Source organism: Homo sapiens, chromosome 2 (genome assembly GCF_000001405.40).
Source record: "Homo sapiens chromosome 2, GRCh38.p14 Primary Assembly".
Classification (NCBI taxonomy): domain Eukaryota; kingdom Metazoa; phylum Chordata; class Mammalia; order Primates; family Hominidae; genus Homo; species Homo sapiens.
Window position 1 is genome coordinate 119,937,215 of NC_000002.12, and position 21,503 is coordinate 119,958,717.

A 21,503-nucleotide genomic window follows, 5' to 3' on the forward strand; every position below is an offset into this window, starting at 1 on the left:
TTGCAGCTTGGAATCCATAGATTTCAGTTTTTCTGTTGTCCAAATGTGAAAAGAATTTAAATGATGTATTGGATTAAGCACAGAACATTTCAACATGTAATGAAATAGATTTTTTTTAAGGTTTTTCACATATACCTTTTTTTAATTGTCAGATAAAATCATCTTACCAATTATTTATTTAAGTGAGTACAGGAGGTTGCTTATACTGTTTAGAATAAAGTTACCATTTATAGGCTAAGGATAAAGTAAAGGAGACCACAGTCTACAACACAGCATGTGAATTGGATGGTTAAATTTATTAGCATACAAATTTCTAAAGGCGGCAACAGAGAGCTGCATTAACTGCAAAATAAGCTTTTTTTCACTGCTGTTGTTGAAGCATTTATAAGAAAATTTAAAGCTCAGTGGACTGAAATAAATTGTGCACATTTTTTCACACATCTTGATTGACATTTCTAACAAACTTTTGCTACTATGTGACAATATATTGCTCTGCTACCAGCATAGTACACTCGAATATAACATTTTCATTATTTACCCTCCACTTAACATTTTCCAAAATGTCAGATTGCCAAGTGTGGTGGTGTGCACCTGTTGTCCCAGCTTACTCAGGAGGCTGAGGCAGAAGGATCACTAGAGCCCAGGAGTTCGAGGATGTATTGCTCCATGATGGTGCCTGTGGATAGTCACTGCACCTCAGCCTGGACAATACAGCAAGACACCATCTTTTAAAAACCAAAACCAAAAAAAAAAAAAGGTCAGAGTTTAAGATAAGCAAGTTATTTTTGGTAAAAAGCCCCAATATGAATGTTGGGCATTTGGAACACTTTTAGAATTATATTGCCATCTTTCCTTTCTCTTAACAACCGAAAGTTAACACGAATAGTACTTTTTTTTAAATGTGGGATAATTTTTTTTTTTTTTTTTTTTTGAGACAAAGTCTCACTCTGTCGCCCAGGCTGGAGTGCAGTGGCACAATCTTGGCTCACTGCAAGCTCTACCTCCCGGGTTCACGCCATTCTCCTGCCTTAGCCTCCCGAGTAGCTGGGACTACAGGCGCCCGTCACCACACCCGGCTAATTTTTTGTGTTTTTAGTAGAGACCAGGTTTCACCGTGTTAGCCAGGATAGTCTCGATCTCCTGACCTTGTGATCCACCCACCTCGGCCTCCCAAAGTGCTGGGATTACAGGCATGAGCCACCATGCCTGGCTAATGTGGGTAAATTTTTTATGTGGGTAAACTGTGTACAGTATGTGTTTTGAGCCCTGGTGCCCCCTCCTTTAGTACATTTTAGGCAAATTATTGGTTTTAAATATGTTAAAACAATTGAGTTAGAAATGTTATCAATTAAAGTTAAATATGGATGTATATAAGCCCTGATATTTACTAATCTTGCTTTCTGTTCATTAAAATATAAGTGATTTGTGTTAGAATTTAAAATATAGCAGTATTACCATTTATAACCAAAAAAAGGGATTTAAAATAGTCATATTCTGGATATATTCTGATAAGTTCTGGGAGTTCTGTTGAGGCCTCAGATACTGACAGGGGTGGGGGATGCTTATTAGCATTTATCTGTTTTATAAATTGGCTTCTGAGAAACTTTTTTTTTTTTAGAAAAAGATTCCACTGCCACAAAAAGTTTGGAAACCTCTGATTTAAAACAACTTTCCTCCTTTTTGCAGTTACTTTGTTTTAGATGCAACTATATATCATAGTGTTTACGAGCACAAGCTCTGGATTCAGACTAGGTTTAAAACGTGGTTCCACTACTTCTAATTAGGTGACCTTTGGTGAGTTATTTTATCTCCGTAAGCCTGTTTCCTCACTGTTAAAAAACAGGGTGATAATAATATCTACCTCAAAGAGTTGCTATAAGCATATAATAATTATATAGCTTTTTTCAGTTAAGCTCTTGGGATATATTCCAACAACTTTTAATATATTATCAACAGTTTGTCTGGATATTTGAAGTGTGAGCATCTGGTTGAAGACAGTGAAGAATTCTCCAGATTCTCAACTTTATTCTTACATTCCTAATCACAAGATATTCTAGACAGACTTCATAATCCAGAAGTGGCTTTTTGTTTGTTTGTTTATTTAGGGACAGGGTCTTGCTCTGTTGCCTAGGCTGGAGTGCAGTGGTGTAATCACCGCTCACTGCAGCCTAGACCTCCTGGGCTCAAGTAATCCTCCCACCTCAGCCTCCCAAGTAGCTGAGACTGCAGGAGCATGACACCATGCCCAGCTAATTTTTGTATTTCTTGTGGAAACAGGGTTGCATCATGTTGCCCAAGCTGGTCTTGAACTCCTGGGCTCTAGTGATCCACCTGCCTCAGCCTCCCAAGTTGTTTGGGAGGATTACAGGTGTGAGCCACCGTGCCTGGCCATCCTCAAGTGTTAAATCCAGTTCCCCGAGCCATTCTTTCCTGGACTATTCCATTCTAGTCTTATCTAATGAATCTCCGCAGCTTTGTCTATACCTCTTCAGTTCCTTTTGCTTGGTCTTCAAAGCTTTGCCTTTCCTCCACCCCTCTCAGCTACTGGCACTGATGATTTCCATCTACAACTCAGTTGTCCCCAATTCCTATTCCAGTCTTGATCAAGTCTAGCAATATATTGTGAACTCTTCAAATACTAGGCTATTCTAGGACAAGGAAGTAAAAAAATCGAAGGTTTGAATAGAAGGAGATATCAAGCCATGGGGACTTAGAGAATGTAACATATTAGATGCTGTTGTATTCATGGCTTCAAGACTAATTACAGGTCCCCGGACACTGTAGCTGCAGTATGCTTACCTACCATTCATCTCTGGCTAAAGGCTCTGTCACTTGCACTTGGGAGCTAAGGGCAGACACCTTGAGTTTGGTTGAAACCAAGAATCTCAGGTTGCTGGGAGGCTTATTCTGGAATAGATTCCTACTGTTAAAATCACATGACATTGTCAGTTCTATTCTTAGATATTACTCATATCCCTGATAGTTTACACGAGCTTTTTAAAGTGCCTTGTGCGTTAATTGGTAATCAACCTGAAGTGACATTTACTTTGAAACACTGTCATTATCAGAATAAAGTAGCCAAAGTGTTAAGAAGCCTGAATTTTGAATCAGAATTTTATCTGTATCTAATGTAATATAAGTAGAGTATAAGTTGGGTTAAATGCGTAATTGAAGACTAGAATAACAGTAGTGGTTATAGTTAAATAAGACATGTTCTCTTGATCTACATCTTAGAAAATAAGGGTTTGTTTTTTTCTTTAAGAGACAGGGTCTCTTTGTCTCCCAGGCTGGGGCATAGTGGCGCAATTATAGCTCACCACAGCCTCAAACTACTGTTCTTGAATGATCTTCCCATTTCAGCATCCTGAGTAGCTGGGACTACAGGTATACACCACCATCCCCAGTTTATTTTTTTAAAAAAATTTTTTGTAGAGATGGTGTCTTGCTATGTTGGCCAGGCTGGAAAATAAGAGTTTTTTAAAGAGCCATCAATTTCTGGCACATTTGTATTAGTGTCTAACAAGAATATAGTTTTTGTTTTCTAGTCTATTGGAATAAATTTTATGCTTCTGTGACAGATTTCTATGTACAATTGTGCCTTTACCGTTTTTTAAAAAAAATTCATGATTTTCAAGGGTTGTTCATTTTTCTTTTTTAAAAGTAATAAAATAATCCCTTCAGGATTGCATTTTTTTCTCACTTTCCCTAACTCAGATCTTTTCCAGCTCCCTTCCTTAAAGCCAGTAAATGCTGGCCTTCTTTGAAAATTAAAGGTCTCTTTCTTGAGGGTACCAGCTGTAATTTCTGACAGGGCTGTGTTTCACTATGCTGCCTGGTTATTCTCCAAATTGCATCATGTCTCTTCATTCTCTTATACTTGGCAGATTTTTGTGTGTGTGCACTTAGAAATAGTATTGTTTTTAAGAATTGGACTGTTTCATGACATTATTTTTAATGTATCATTTCTAATTATAATGCAAGGTTTACCTATGAAAATCATCTTCCTAGATAACTGTTTAAGTAATAAATATATATGATAGCTGTACAATAGAAATGAAGAAGAAAGTTATTCATTAAAGTAAATTGAATTAATATTCTTGGAGTATGTCTTTTAAAAAATGTAATTGATAACCTTTGCCCAATATTTGAATTTCAGGAGTCTGTGTTGACATCCTTGATTACTTTTATAGACTTCAGAGTGTGTGTGTGTGTGTGTGTGTGTGTATAGAGTTTGGTTGTGTATGTATACAGTTTGGTTATTGAAATTAGAAGTATAGAAAAGGGAAACAGTTACAGGGATTACTGTGAGAGTACATAATTAAATTATAAGAGCTCCCTAGACTAACCTAACCCTCTGCAGCAGTCAGGCATATGGAGAGCCTGTCTGCCACTCTCTGAAAAGTTACTTTAATAAGAAAGTTACATAAGACAGTGAGAAGGCAGGTAGCTCTGTCCTGAAATCCAAAGTTTTACTGTCCTTTCGTCTTCATCTTAATCTATACTTCATTCTCCTCACCTTTTCCTTATAATTTGGCTTAAATCCCAACCTCAGCATTTATACTTGGGCTCTTTTCCTATCTGTATCTTCCTGCTTGATTTGATTGTTTAAAAAGAGGTTAAAAGAGGTTATTCTCAAATACCTGTAGTCTTGCAAGTAGCACGGGATGGAGATTTGTGTAGATTATAGAGCTCATGCTGCATCTAAAGACAGCAGCTGCCACTTGGCTTTATACAGTGTTTGACAACTGGTACTGCAGGCCCATTCTTTCCGGAGCTTCCAGATTTTTCATCTTGAAAATCTAGATTTGTATGCAATTTTAAAAATGTAATTGTTTAACTCAATTATTTTTATAAAAACAATGAATGGTCCAAATGTATGTTGGCCAAAATTGGCCCATAATCCATGAATTTATAACTGCTCTTTTAGGACAATAATGTCTAATCATAATTGCGCAATAAAAACCACCTCTGGAGGTGTTTCTTGTAACCCCAGAAGTAGAGATTCAACAGTTTTAGCAAAATGTACCATAGAATCAGTGCTGTCCCTCTCATGTAACTGAGTATTGCCACTGTTAGGCCCATACTGAGTATGCCACTGTTAGGCATAACTGAGTATTGCCACCGATAGGCCCATACAGGTTTGGCTCACTTAGATATACCACTGCTGATCAGGCTTGAGTTTCTCCTGTATATTTTGGTGCTGTATTTAAACTGATAGCTGGACCAAGAATAAGGAAGGTTTCCCTGACTCCATTTTCATATGTTCTCCACCTTACTCCCTTTCCCACAGGCTTTTAGTTTTAAATTTTTTTTCTCAGCTTTTAAATTTAGCTTTTAAATGTTTCCTGGTTATGACAACTGTATGCAAAGCAGAAAGAGTTTCTAATTATATTGCCTAAGTGGTTACACTTAGGTCCAAGTAAGGGGTGAGACCTGTTATATATGTCGAGTCCAATTACTTCTGGTATTTGTAAAGTTTTAGAGATTCTTATCAACTGCCTTTTAAAAATGTTGCATCTCTTAAGTTCTGCTAAGGGATGTCCATCTCTGTGTGCTCTAATCCTATGTAGTAGGCCGTGGTTGAGTTACATATCTCTATTCTAATCCATGGAAACATTTCCCTAGACAAGCAATACTTGAATCTATGGGCCCTTAGAAGCTTGTATTCTTGGCAGTTGAAAGTAACATAAGAACTACCACATTTGGGAGCTGGAAGCCCTGGCCATTAAGGCAGACCTCAATGAAGCTTTGGCTGAAAAAGAGGGATGTATGCTCTGATGCAGTCTTTGTAGACTTGGCAGAATTTAGAGCATTTGTGCCCTGAAGTATTTCTATGCAGACATCTAGGCTAAGTGGGCATTGCTGTTCACTTGCTTCTTTTGCAGTTATATTTTATACCATGTTATAAAATTTCAGAAAGACTCTAATCTCTCCTAGGAGAAACTTCTCTTTAAGACCATACAATCACATCATTCATTATTAATCCCAGCTGACTTCCTTGGCACTGATCATACTTTCTTTCAGTTTCACAACACTTATTTACTAGGTGTCTAGCAGCCAACCTCTCAATAAGCTTACACCTCCTCTACAAGGGAGAACAGATGTATCCAAGGGTCACTCTGGCAGTAAATCTCTGTATCAGTTATCTTGTTATGCTTGATCACAAATGAGCCTAACTTAAAGAGACATAACAAAAGTTCTTTCTTTCTTACATTGTATGTACATTATGTGTCATCTGTGGCTGTGCTCTACCTTATCTTCATTCTGGGTCCCAGACTGGTAGCATTCCCTGTTTGGGACATGGCTAGTCTCATGGGCAAGGGAAAAAAGAAGCATAATGAAATCATAAGCTGTTTCATTTTTTTCTTTTTTTTTTTTTTTTTTTTTTTGAGATGGAGTCTTGCTCTGTCGCCCAAGTTGGAGTGCAGTGGCGCGATCTTGGCTCACTGCAAGCTCCGCCTCCCAGGTTCACGCCATTCTCCTGCCTCAGCCCCCCCGAGTAGCTGGGACTACAGGCGCCTGCCACCATGCCTAGCTAATTTTTTTGTATTTTTAGTAGAGACAGGGTTTCACCATGTTAGCCAGGATAGGATGGTCTCAATCTCCTGACCTCGTGATCCGCCCACCCCGGCCTCCCAAAGTGCTGGGATTACAGGCATGAGCCACTGTGCCCAGCCCATAAACTGTTTCTTAAAGCTTCCTTTCAAAAGTTACACATTCCACTTCTACCCACATGTCATTGGCCAAAGCAAGTCACATGGCCAGGCCTAATGTCAGTGGGGGGAAGAAGAACTTTTTTTTTAATGATAATATCATCTAATACATTTTCCTTATCTCCAGACCTTATAGCTTGGATGTTAGGTGTCCCGTTAGTCAACAGAAGAGCAGATACTAGGTATAAAATGTGTGCTTCAGTGCCACATCAGCAGCCATGTGGCTTGACACAGTAGCTGTCATCTCTCTTATACCTGTCCTTAGGCAATAAGACAGTAATTCTTTTATCAGATAATAACGCCAATAGTGGTCAGTGTTCTTATCAAGAACAATTTTCCGCTTACCTATTTAATCTTTTACTTCTCCCAAATCCACGACTTCTGTGGATGCATACTTCTTAAGACACAAGTTGAACCACAAGTTTCTACTTTTGGCCTTTGTGGAATGCTCACAAGTAATGTTTTTATACATTTTATGCTTGTTAAAAGCTAGAGTTTCTGACCTGAAGTTACCTTTATCATATCTAGCTCTTTTTATCAATTCCTGTTGCCACAAATTGAGGCTTATGCTCTCTAATGTTAATTGGATTTTGTTTTCTCACCTTAAATCATATGTTCTGACAATATCTCAACCAGTTTTGGCTCTGGTGATGATCTCAGCACTCTTACTCAGATTTCCAATCCTCACTGCATCATTGAATTCATTACTTCCATGAATCGTATTTTATTTCTAAATAGATTAGGCCAATCTCTTAAGCTATTTAGGCTGGAATAGTTACTTTATCTGTGGAACTACCCAATTATCAGTTCTGGATTTTCTTGCCTACCTTATTCCTGGCTACCCGTGACTCCTCTGACAACCTTAAAAAAATTTTTTTGGAAAGATGTTTACTTTGTTATAATAGATTAATAGGTATCTTCACAGGAATACCTTGATAATATATTTTATTATATAATTGTTTATAAATTTGATAAAGTAGGAAATTAGATTTATTACTTCAAAGTTAGGAAAATTTTCATTAAAAAGTGGCACTTCCAAATAAATATGGTATTTAGAGCCTGTCTCCTACCAGACATTGTAAATATGTGGGTTGCTTGACCCTAACTTTTAAAAAAGTTATGAAACAACTTCCAAATTTGTTTTCTTGTCTAGATCACAAGAGACCCCTGGAGATGGGAAGCCTCCAGCTTTACCACCCAAACAGTCAAAGAAAAACAGTTGGAACCAAATTCATTATTCACATTCGCAACAAGATCTAGAAAGTCATATTAATGAAACATTTGATATTCCATCTTCTCCTGAAAAACCCACTGTAAGTAGCTTCTTCAGATATTCTCATTTTTATTTGAATTTTTAAAATCCTAAATGAAATTTCTTTTGTACTTTGGCAGTTTTTAGTTGTAAGTTGTATTACAGTACCTTCTCTTTTTCATCATATTCTTTGGTCCTGAATTGTGCCATGATGTATCTCAATATAAGTTCTATAATTAGAAGTGATCATGGAGTACATAGAGTATATAATTAAATAAGCTGTGGGGTTAAGGGAAGATTCCTATAAGAGATCATCTCTGATAAGAACTAGTCAGATTTTTTCCTTCAAAGAGCAGGCATAGAACATACTGAACAAACCTGCATGTTGTGCACATGTACCCTAAAACTTAAAGTATAATAATAATAAAAATTAAAAATAAAAATAACAATAAAGAACATACTGAATGAAAGAAGCCCAGGACAAATAGCCATGTGTTGTAGGATTTCATATATGTGAAATATCCAAAACAGTCAGATCTGTCAAGAGACAGTAAGTAGATTTGTGGTTGACTAGGCTTTGGAGGATGGCAGGTGGGAAAATGGGGAACGACTGCTAATGGATACAAGATTTCTTTTGGAATTGATGAAAATATTCTAAAATTAGATAATAGTGATGTTTGTACACCTCTGTGACAAGAGTAAAAATTATGGAAATATACACTTTAAATAGGTGAATGATATGTGAATTATATCTCAATAAAGCTGTTTTTTAAAATCACATATATCAAGCAGTGGAAGTATCATTTGAATTCATGTAACACTTATGAGCACCCTCTGTATACTCATACATATGAACCTGGCTTGCTATGAGCCAGATTCTACGGATATAGCAATTAATAAAGACAGACATGGCCCCTGTTCCTCCTGTCACTTAATAGTCTAGCATATGCTCGTAAGAATGCATGAGAGGATATATCTGGTTGGGCTAACTGCAAGTTATTAGTCAAAGAATTTACTCTTCTGAACTAAAATTTTTATTAGAATTATGATTTTTTACAAACTATGCATAATATAAGCATACAAAAAATATGCTTCCTATATATCTGAAGAATAGATTTTAAGTGAAGAAAATTACAAGTTATTTAATTTTGTCTTTTTAAGCCTAATGGTGGTATTCCACATGATAATCTTGTCCTAATCAGAATGAAACCTGATGAAAATGGGAGGTTTGGATTCAATGTAAAGGTAATCTGGAATTTATTTTATACTCAGTTTTTAAATTAAGATGTTCTTATTTTGGTAATATTTGACTAACATTTTACTTATTCTCTTTTTAAGGGAGGATATGATCAGAAGATGCCTGTGATTGTGTCTCGAGTAGCACCAGGAACACCTGTGAGTTATCTAAATGTTTCAAATAAATCCTGTTTTCAAGAATATGTACTTATTTTATAATTCTTACTAGTTTAAATAAAACAAGGAATTTCATCATTTCTTTTATTTATCAAGTGTCAAATGTTGGCTGAATCTCTTTAAGTTGCTGGGAAGTTAGTTTTGACTTGTTCTCTGTAAGTATTTAAAATCCCTGTTTTTATAAAGAAGCTATTTATGACTTTCATTGCTTCTAAAGCATTAACAGATTCTATCAAAATAACCCCCTTAAAAAACAAAATATAGACAGAGGTATAGTTTCGTGGGGGTTTTTGTTTGCTTGTTTATTTTTTATTAGAGTAATTTAAGTACATTATACTTGCCTATGCACTCCTTTAAAATTTTACTTTAAATGGAAATGATACTACAAGGATAATTTTTAAAACTTTTTATTATGAACATTCTAAACAAAAGTAGAGAAAACTTATATATCCATTATGATGAATCTCCTATTACTCATTGTTCAGCTTCCACAATCATGAACTTTCTGTTCATCATAGGACAATTCTTAACTAATTGTAGGTACATCATCTTTATTACTGTTTTATATAACAAGTATTGCTTTCAAATTCCTATTTATGTTGTCTACTCTGTTTACTTTCCTTTTTCTTACCTAAATGATCTTCAAGCACCTTTTATCATTTAACTGTCTCTCTGTTCTAGGAAAGGTATGAACCAGCAGCCTGAGAGAGGGAGGCCAGCTATGCTTTTTTTGGTGCTTTGCAGCAACCTCAAAGTTGGTTTGAAAATCACAATTGAGATTGATCAAGGATATCATGTTATGTGGTTTTGGTTCTGGTTTTTAAGGACCTTGTTTTTTGCGAAAATAACAGGGTACTCATGGAATACCCCTGGCATGAGCATAAACACAGAATAGTTTATTTAAATATAAATACATCAGATAGCTATTGAGGTGTCACACAAAACTAAAGAGCATGAATGCAATCACACCTCTACAGGAAACTTTTAAAATCATCGACTTTTCTGCTTTTCATCTGTTTCTTTTTATGTGATTGTTTGATTCCTCTCAGTGTGAATGAATTTGTACATTGAATCAGCCTACCTCTCAAGCCACTCCAGATAAACACTCCAGTCTAAGTAAAAACAGTGTACTTAGTAGCAGCTTCAAGCAGAGTTTTGTAACACCACTACCACACACACACACACACACACACACACACATCAGATTGTGACTCCTAAGTCTCCACTAAATAGAAATTGTGTAACTACCTACTGCTATTGTGATCCTCAATCCATGTAGTAGGATGTGACTACTAATAACTTCCAGGTTTGTATATTACCAGCTCAGTAGCCCACAGGGACCTCTCAGTCTAAATTATAAACTCCTGGGATGTAAACCCTTAATAGACCCAGCGTGGATCCTATTTCCTTATTTGAAAAAAGTCCGTTGTGACTGGGGGACAAGACCGGGGATATTATGTATAAAATGACTCCTGGGGACATACTATTAATATGTATGTAAAAGATGGGGACAAAGATGGTAGAGATAATCCAAAATTATTTATTTTATATATATTTGATGGGAAATATGAATATGATTGGGACTGCAGATGAAGGGATGAAGGATTGATGAATTATCTATCATGTACAAAGTTAATAGATAATATCTAAAACAGAAAAGAATAACAATAGAGAGATGTTAGAGATGCAGAGGTAAATACAGAAAGATATATCTAAAGTGTTGAAAAAAGTTGCCTCTAGAGATGGGGAGGTGGTAGGGAGGAACACAAATAGTTTCTTAACAGTCTTATAAACCTAGTCAAATCTTTTAATGGTGTGATTTATAACTTTGCTAAAAACAAAAATTTAAGACTTAAAAAAAAAGCAGTTGTATATCTTTTGGCCTGACAGTTTCACATTTAGGAATTTCTCCTAATGAAATAGTTTGACTAGGGAACAAAGAGTACTTACACAGGGATATTAATTATATGGTTTATAACAGTTTAAAGTGGAAAAATAATCAAATGTGGACTAGGGAACAAAGAAATACAAGGATATTAATTACAGTATGGTTTCTAACAGTTTAAAATGAAAAATAATCAAAATGCTCATCGTTAAAGTTGGGGAAACAAGTTATATGTTGCTTTGTGTCTATTGAGATGGTAATGTAACTATATAAATATGGAAATATATCCATACGATGGCATTATGGAAAAATATATAATTTCACATATATGTTTGAACCAGTTTATTAAAATATTAGATACATAGAAAAATTCTGGAAACGTGCTAAAAAAGTTAACAGTGGGTAATGGAATTACAGGTATTCTGTATTTTTTTAATTGTCTGGATCATGACAATGAGCATATATTGCTCTTATAATTAGAAAAGATAATACACATTTCTTTATTTACATGACAGTTGTAATAGTCAATGACTCACACGCATAAAAAAAGTATTCATTTTTCTGAGCAATGAATATGGATAGTTTTCAATTAAGTCAAGGATTCAGAGAATATTCTATAGATATATTCATTTCCAAACAGAATTCTAAGACTGTTAAGTTCTCTTTTTAATCTGTACATATTGTTGGTAATTTTTCCCTTCTGCCATGTAGAACTATGTTCCATAAATATTGGCTGGAATTTAGAGCAAATTAAAACATAGTCATTCTATTGGGGGAAAAAATTAAAACAATAGGAATTTATTATTTTTGTATTATTTTGTTAATTTAGAGATCACCACAACCTTCTAATTGGAAACCACAGTTTAGGCAATCGGGGGAAAAGGAAAAGGTTTCTGTTTTTGTATGAATACATAATAGTTGTACATGTTTATGGGATTCAAATATTTTATTGTCATTTTTTATATTGGACATCTTCTGAAATGGATAAAACAACTCCCAATTAAAGTTATGATTCTCTTTCTGTTTGATAATCTTAGCCAAAAGCCGTTGCTGCAACAAAACTCATTTTAACGTAGTTTATTGGCCGGGTGTGATGCTCATGCCTATAATCTTAGCACTTTGGGAGGCTAAGATGGGAGGATTGTTTGAGCTCAGGAGTTGAAGACTACCCTGGGCAACATAGTGAAGCTTTGTTTCTACAAAAAAAATTTTTAAATTCACCAGATATGGTGGCACACGCCTGTGATGCCAGCTACTCCAGTGGCTGAAGTGGGAGGATCACTTGAGCCCAGGAGATCGAGGCTGTAGTGAGCTATGATCACACCACTACACTCCAGCCTAAGCAACAGAGCAAGACCCTGTCTCAAATATATAGCAAGACCCTGTCTGAAATACACACACACACACACACAGAGCAAGACCCTCAAACATATATTTGAGCAAGACAGGGTCTTGCTCTGTATGTGTGTATATATACACACAAACAGTTTATTTAGACTTGTCAGATCAGAATGAAATGGAAATGAAAAATTGTAACATATCTGACAAAAGGCATATTAACTATAAGAGAGTTCCCTTTAGTGATAATGGATACAGTAAGAGATTCATAGCTATCCTCTTTAACACATAGACCACCTCTTTTTTTCTGCCAACTACACTATGCACAAAATAATGTGAGGAAAAGCTCTGTCTGCTATAGCCCATTATTACATTTTCCCCAGTACCATTGGCTCCCAATTCACTATACTTCAGGTATCTCAAAGACATTTACAAAAACTTGGAACTAATTGGTATACAAAAGCATCATACTGCTAGTGCACAGAGGGAATATATGAATGTCTGTCATCTACTTCACTACATAAGTAGACAAAAAAGCAACTTGAGAGAATGAGCATAACTCTAAATTTGAACGTTCCAGATTTTAAAGCTTTGGGTTGAATTATCTCATCTTCACAACAACTCTAAGAAATAATCAGAACTTTTCATTTTCAGATGTCTTTTCAGAACTTCAGATGTCTAATTAATCATTCATTTCAGAAGCAGCAGAGTAACTTCTAGACCAGTGTTTTTTCCACTAATGACAGTGCCTTATTGGATTTTATTGACTTTGTGTTGATAAAGAATTTCAGTAGTTGTGCTTTTATTTCTTCATGCCTTTACCACAAGCAGTTCCCTTTTTTGTAAGATCCAACCCCATCATTTCCTTCTCAACCTGGCCTATCATTCCTCAAAATTCACTCTCATATGTTTTCATTGCTATGTTCCCAGAACATGTCCATATTTCTATTTCTTTTGTCTCTTTTACCTTAATCGCTGTTTGTCTTCTCACTTTGTGCTATAGTGCAAGACTATAAAAATGACCATGCAAGATGAAATTGTGCAGGATCTTGATGATTAATAGGAAAAATTATGGTTGTTCCCATGACCTTTAAATTTATTGTCAAAACATTAAGAATTTCCTTTACTGTCTCTTATAAAGGTAAAAGGAAATGAAAAAAATAGTAAAGCTAATATAGGATTTTGTATCCTGTAATTCAAAACATTAGAAACACTGAGAATTTAAATGTTTTATTTTCTTGTGAAAACTCATTATGAGTAGTTTAAACGGTGCTTGCCTCCTCCCCGTGGTACAGCTTAGAATACCAAATGAGCTTCATTTCTTGCCTTGGCAAATTGTCATAATACTGTCTACTTGACACACTTTCAGTACTTTGTCCTCTGAACTTTTGATGTTGTGAAATATCTCCAAAAGTTCCTTTGGCTGCATATCTAGAGTCTCTCCAACAACAGTGTTAACATTCCCATGGTCATCTATTGCTTCTCTGACTCTATTTATGGTCCATTCAAACTTCACCTCCAGCATTATTCACTTTGCTGCACTTTCATCTTTTGTGATCAATTTCCTCTTTAGATTTAGGTTATTCATTTTAATATGGGTTTATCACTGGGAGACTAGGAGGCAGCCCAACTACATGCTTTCCTGTCTGCACTTGAACTGAAAACAGATGACCATCAGACTTTGGAAGAACTGATGTGACTGGCCACTGATGATGATGTGTGTCTATTATTTATGTAGTGATTTTTGTGTACTTTTTACAGTTATTCACGGTAAATGCACTGTGGTAACTAAAGTTTGAATTGTATTGTTGGGGGACTGCTGTTATTTAATTAAATCATGGTAACTGAAGTTTGTATGTATCTAGACAGTGTAAAGCTAAAGCTACTTGTGTGTATGTACTTGGAAATCATCAGTCTTATTTGTAGGTCTAGGCACATAATAGGTCATCAGGAAAGAAATTGTTGCATGAAGAAGGAACAAAAATACTCTCTCTGGCAAAGCTAGATTTCTACATTTTTTAAATAGATAATAAATGAAAGATGCTTTTCTATATGTAGTTTAGTTCTCCTGCTATTGGGTCTATTAAAATAAATTCCTGTGCTCTACTTTCAGAAAGTTGCATGCCAATCTGAAACCTTATCTATATTATATTACAGGCTGACCTCTGTGTCCCTAGACTGAATGAAGGGGACCAAGTTGTACTGATCAATGGTCGGGACATTGCAGAACACACTCATGATCAGGTTGTGCTGTTTATTAAAGCTAGTTGTGAGAGACATTCTGGGGAACTCATGCTTCTAGTTCGACCTAATGGTGAGTACTCTATGTAGTACCAGATAATTTATAGTAATTTATTACTGTTCATTACTGAGCACAGCAGCCAGATTTCTGACATAAAACATAAGTCACCTAAGTTTCCTGCTCAAAGCACAGTGGCTTTCATTGACACGTGGAGCAGAATTCAAGTTCTTTGCCCCCCCACCCCTTGCTCCCACTCAGCCTTGCTTACTTTCCTCTATTCTACACTAGCTTTCTTGCAGTTACTCAGATCTTCCAATCTAATCGACTTATTAGGGTTTTTATCCTTGCTGTTCCCTGTGCTGACATACTCTTTTTGATTTTGTTATGACTTATACCTATACTTCATTCAGGTCTCTGCTCAGATATCATCTTCAGAAGGGCTTTCTCTCCTGACTACCATAGCTAAAATGGTCTCCCATTTCCCCTAAATGGTAATAGTTGTAGTACTAGTACTCAATAAATACTAGTTGAATGAATGAGTAAATTTGAACTCTGTTCCACTTTTAGAAAATGCCATAACAAGCTATAGTTAAAGTGTTTTTAAAATACTGCCTTTGTTTTCAGTATATGATGTCTACTTGCCTAATCATGTCATCTCCCAATCTGGACAGCTGACTTGTTAATTCATAGTCATAGAATTCCAGGTTTGGAGAAAACTTGAATGCCGTAAGCTCTAGCTCTTTGGCTAATTGCACGAATTTCCTCCACAACAACCTCAAGAACATTCTACCAATATAGATAGAGCACTTTGTGGCTCCTGAAACAGGTCATTCCATCTTTGGATAGCTCAAACTATAAATTGAACTAAAAGTCCATCTTTCTTCAGTCCTGCTCCTAAGTCTGTCACTCTGTGCTATGCATTATAAGTTTAACCCCCTTTCCTTCAGTTTTTTGACAATAGCTAATTTTACCAGAAACCCACCTCCCTTTCTCCAGTTTAAGAGTCCTAGAGTCTTCAGCCAGTGTTCATATGGCATTGTTTAGAGTTCCCTCAACACTTTATCAGTCTGCTCTAAGAAAAAAGTTTTATATGTCTAATATCCCAGGATTAGACATATTCTTCTGGTTTTGTTCTATACAATTTACTATTAATCATTATTTTAGCCACAGAATAATTATTGTTAATGCCATATTACCACTTGAATATGTACCATAGGAAAGTGAAATATCATTCGAATTCTACTTGTCACCACCACACCCAACCCTGCAAAATTTTGCAAGGATATTTCTTTTTTGTAAACAAAAAATAAAAAATCCTCTTTGTACCTCTTGTTCACAAATAGGCGTTTTCATTTTATCTTCTCCACTTTGTGTTCTTTTCCATTAATGGTCTAGAATTGGCTTTCTAGGAAGATTAAAAGGACTTCAACAGAACATTCTATTTTGACTTTTCAAGGAACTTGTTCATTTAGACTTGATACTTAGGTGAGTCATTAGGTGTTTTCTGTCACATACAGCTACTTAAATTTTAAACCAGGAATAACATTTTTTTCTGTATTTATTGTATTATATTTTCTCTTGATAATAGATCCTAAAGAACTCAATAATATTAGCTAATAGTTATTAAAAACTTTCTGTGCACCTAGGCTCTTTTGTATATTTTCATTTAATCCTCATAGACATCCAATGAGATTGATGAATTATCCCCATTCTAGAGCTGAAGATACTTTGACACCAAGACATTCAGTTACCTGCTCACAGATTCATGACGCCACAGAGCCAGAATATGAACAAAAATCCATATGATGGCAAAGACCCAGCCTTTTTACAATTCCAGATCTCATCCTTTTGCTTTATAGTATGAGAGGAACCCACCAGGGTCTACTTCTTGCAAAATATCTTTCTAAATTGTTTCATAGTCAAAATACGGAGCAGAACCTGCATCTGTTTTCAGTGTGGGTCTGTCTTTTCCATTCTTAAAGTTTCATATAATTAAAATTTAAAACTGTGTTTGCCAAGAATATATTTTTGTTTTTCTGATCTTTTCTCCTTTAATTCTTATTTCTTCTTAGGCAAAATGTTGTCATACCTTTTTGTCTTTTCATTCTTCATTTCAGAAATTTATTTTTCTAAAAAAATGTATAGATATTCAAGGAGGAACCAGATCTCTTAGGCAAGGGTAAAGAGGCCCCTACCTTGGCTCCATGTTTTAGAAGGCCCTGCTTTGGCTCTCTTTCTTCTCCCAGTGGAGTCATAATTTTATAGGACCAAAAGGACATGCCAAGCTGTAACCTCCCTTCCCTTTCTATACCACTTTTTTTCAAACCTCAGTTCTGGGTCCAGATAACCCTGAGCCTCTCCAGATCTTCATGGGTATTTTCCACACATCCGTTCTCTCAAGGTGGGTTCACATGGTGTGTGTATCCTAGCCCAGAAGGTGGCTAAGAGGCTACAGTTTGTGGAGGGACAGGTATAGATATATCTTGCATGTGGGCTGGGATCTTCACATGTATGTTTATAAGCCCCTATGTTAAAAAATGGGACTGAGAGTGGGTAACGGTAGAATACAGGCCTAGGATCTAGGGTCTGAATCTCCTCACATTACCATGACCATGAATTCTGGCCTAGAATTCTCATTTATAGTCTGGCCTCCCAGGTTGTTTTGTAGATACATCACAGAAAGAGGATGAAGCATATTTTGTTTAGCACTGTGTTCAAGTTTTTTGTAACTTCTCATAGTTAAACATATGGTATATAGGTCTCTATTTGTACTCTTGCCCTAGGTCCCCTACAAATTAAGAGCGGGTGTATTCACAGCTGCTTCTCAGCAGCTCTTCTTTCTTACTGTCTCTTCAAGTTATAGACATTTTCAGCAATGTAGCCAAGAACACTTCTTCCCTCCAAAGGTACAGCAAAGCCCCTCAACTCCACAACTAGTTTCTGTCCCCCCATAGTGACACCAGACTCAGATCTGGTGTAATTCTTCACAAATGAATTATTTTTTGAACAAAACATTATACAGTGTATCTGGTAAATTCCTATCGTGTGAATTCATTAAGATTTCCACGTTTTGGGGTTTGTTTGATTTTTTTTTTTTAGCTGTATATGATGTAGTGGAAGAAAAGCTAGAAAATGAGCCAGATTTCCAGTATATTCCTGAGAAAGCCCCACTAGATAGTGTGCATCAGGATGACCATTCCCTGCGGGAGTCAATGATCCAGCTAGCTGAGGGGCTTATCACTGGAACAGTCCTGACACAGTTTGATGTAAGTAATATCATTATATATTAAAAGCATTTTGCTGATATTTGCTAACTAGTTTCATAGTTTCTTAAGTGCCTAATCTGTGCATTATAATTTCTAAACTAAAATGATATTCTGAGAAATGTTTGACATAAAGAGTTCTAAAATGCCAAGTTTTAAAAATTGCTCCCAAAATACTAGCTATGGTTATATAAATAGAATATGTTTTAAAAAGAGGGATAAGGAAATTTTATACATATGTCATCAAACTAAATTTTTTTCTATAGTTAAATAGCTGTTTTTTTGAAAGGTGGCAGATGAAGATAGGCTATTATATACTTTAAAATCCTGAGCTTGGCCAGGTGTGGTGGCTCACGCCTGTAATCCCAGCACTTTGGGAGGCCGAGGCGGGCGGATCACAAGGTCAGGAGATCAAGACAATCCTGGCCAACACGGTGAAACCCCGTCTCTACTAAAAATACAAAAAATTAGCCGGGTGTGGTGGCAGGTGCCTGTAGTCCCAGCTACTCAGGAGGCTGAGGCAGGAGAATGGCGTGAACCTGGGAGGCAGAGCTTGCAGTGAGCTGAGATCGCGCCACTGCACTCCAGCCTGGGCGACAGAGTGAGACTCCATCTCAAAAAAATAATAAATAAATAAATAAATAAATAAATAAATAAATAAATAAAATCCTGAGCTAAAGGAAAATAACTTTTATTTTTGAAGTTTATACCTTGTCATTTAATCTTTGTTTATTTTTCATTGGTGCAATCTTGAAAACTGGAAAAACCAAAACTTTCAGACAGATCATTATATCCAATGAACTAGAATGCTTCTTCAGTGCTTATAATGTGCATTTTGACCCACGATCACCCAGTGGATTTTGAAATGTTTTATTCAGACTATATCAACCTAATTTGTTTAAATTAATAAACCTGAATTTTTTTTTTTTTTTTTTTTTTTGAGAAGCGGCCTCTCACTATGTTGCCTAGGCTGATCTCAAATTCCTATGTCCAAACAATCCTCCAGCCTCAGCCTCTCAAGTAGCTGGAATTACAGGCATGCACAGCCATGCTAGGCTCCCTGGATAGTTTTTAATGTGTTTTTAGAAATGACCATCATTAATATTTGTTGTTCTGACATATATGTTATAGGTAAGTGTTTAACTATAAAACATTTAGGATATGTCTGTTTTTGTTCAAAAGTTCTTAGTTCATAGACTGTAAACACCTCCAAACTAAATGAAAGTTAAATGTTTTCTGCAGATTTGCTACTCACAACTTCAGGTGCTCCTGCTGTAAGCAGAATTGGTTTCACTAGTTTTACCACTTTTCAAAATATGACACATAATTTATGTTAGAAACTGAAGAATTCAGCTTTGCAAATCTGGTTCAGTACTCTACTAGACTATGGTATATCATTGTATAGATGACCTATTCAAAGGCAAAGAAACCTGTTTCCTGTTAGTGTAGAAACAAGTCTGGTAAACAAAAGAGAAATTGTTTATGGCTTTTGTTGGAATTGTACCTTTTTTTTTTTTTTTTAGCAACTGTATCGGAAAAAACCTGGAATGACAATGTCCTGTGCCAAATTACCTCAGAATATTTCCAAAAATAGATACAGAGATATTTCGCCTTGTAAGTATCTTATTGTCTCTGTTAAATTTAATCTTTTAAACATAACTTTACTAAAACATTATTTCTTTTAAATTTTTTTAGATGATGCCACACGGGTCATTTTAAAAGGTAATGAAGACTACATCAATGCGAACTATATAAATGTAAGTTTATTCTTATTATGCCTTTGCCATTTGGAAAAATACGAGCCACTATGAACTTTGAGGTTCTTTTTGTTAAAATCCTGACCTGGATAGAATATTAAAACTTTCAGCTATGAAAAATATTATTGAAGTAATATTAAAGAAAATATTTTGGTACTTGTGTATTAATACAGGTAGAGCAGTGGAATGGAATAGTCCAGTTCATAAATAGACTTAGATACTAGAATTTTGTTTATGGTAGAGGTGGCCTTTTAGATCATTGGAGATAGACTATCCAGTGAATGGGTGGTTGGGTCAACTGTCTAGAACAGGAGCCCCCAACCCCTGGGCCATGGACCAGTAATTGTCTAGGTTGCATGCTCATTATGAAAATCTAATGCCTGATGATCTGTGGTGGAACAGTTTCATCCTGTAACCATCCCCACCTCCCACCCTCCCAACCCCACTCCATGGAAAAATTGTCTTCCAAGAAACCAGTCCCTGGTGCCAAAAAGGTTGGGGACCACTAGTCTAGAATACGTCATTGTAAAGAGGCATTTTTTTTTCTTACCTGGAAAAAAAAATTACTATTTTTTTCTTAACTCTGTAATTAGAAAATTTCAAATGTACAAAATTAAAGCAAACCGTAAAATCAACCTTCATGTACACATCACTCAGTTTCAGCACTTGTCAACTGATGACAAACTTGGTTTCACCTTTACCAGGTTCTTTTGAAGCAGATCTTTATATCATATCGTTCATCTATAAATACTTTACCTCTACTCACTCTTGATGCCAACATGTATTTCAAATATATCAAAATGTAATTTTTAAAGTGGAATTATGAAATTATTTGAAGGAAATATGTGAAAATTGTTTAAAATCTCAAGGGGAGGTTTTTTAAGCTTAGATACATGTCTAAGCTTAAAGAGATGAATTTGACAAGGTAAAATTTGTTATTTTTGGTATGCTTAAAAACTACTAAAATCAAATGACAAATGGAATTTTTTAAATACTAGAAAAAGCTTATTTAATATACAAAGAGCTTCATAAATGAATAAGAAAAGTAAGCCTCGGCAACATATTGAGACCCCATTTCTCGAATAAAAATAAAAATATAAAAATATAAAAATTAGCAGTCATGGTGGTGCATGCCTGTTGTCCCAGCTACTCAGGAGACTGAGGTGGGAGAATTGCTTGAGCCTGAGAGGTTGAGGCTGCAGTGAGCCATGATCACATGACTGTCACTGGGTGACAGAACAAGACCCGTCTAAAAAAAAAAAAAAGAACAATGAAAATAATGGATGAAGGACATGCAAAGACAATTCATAGAAAAGGAAATTATGCAAATGACATTTTTAATAGTCATTTTTAAATTTATACAAAAGTAGAGAGAATAGTATAAAAGAGTCCCCCCATACCTCTTACGCAGTTTCAAGAGCTATCAACTAGTGGCCAATCTTAGCTAAATACTAACCTCCAAATTATTTTTAAGCCCAAATATATCACTGTATATGTCAGTTGAGTTAATTCTCACCATTCGATGTTGTCATGCTCTAGAAAGTCTTTGTACATGCTAAATTAGAGACTATTTAATCATTGCTTCTAGGGAAAATACAGGGTTAGGTTCCCCCAGGCCAAAAGTCACAACATTTTAATTA

At 35.6% G+C, this 21,503-nt stretch overlaps 1 protein-coding gene across 1 annotated transcript in view; it reads left to right on the top strand.

Moving 5' to 3' along the window:
• The window catches only part of PTPN4 (protein tyrosine phosphatase non-receptor type 4), a 224,978-nt gene that overhangs the window by 177,293 nt on the left and 26,182 nt on the right, over nt 1-21,503 (top strand). The window contains exons 16-22 of the mRNA NM_002830.4: nt 7,867-8,026; nt 9,127-9,210; nt 9,304-9,360; nt 14,759-14,915; nt 17,943-18,109; nt 19,630-19,720; nt 19,802-19,863. Of these exons, the coding sequence (NP_002821.1) occupies nt 7,867-8,026; nt 9,127-9,210; nt 9,304-9,360; nt 14,759-14,915; nt 17,943-18,109; nt 19,630-19,720; nt 19,802-19,863 (778 nt within the window). The remainder of the gene's footprint in view (nt 1-7,866; nt 8,027-9,126; nt 9,211-9,303; nt 9,361-14,758; nt 14,916-17,942; nt 18,110-19,629; nt 19,721-19,801; nt 19,864-21,503) is intronic.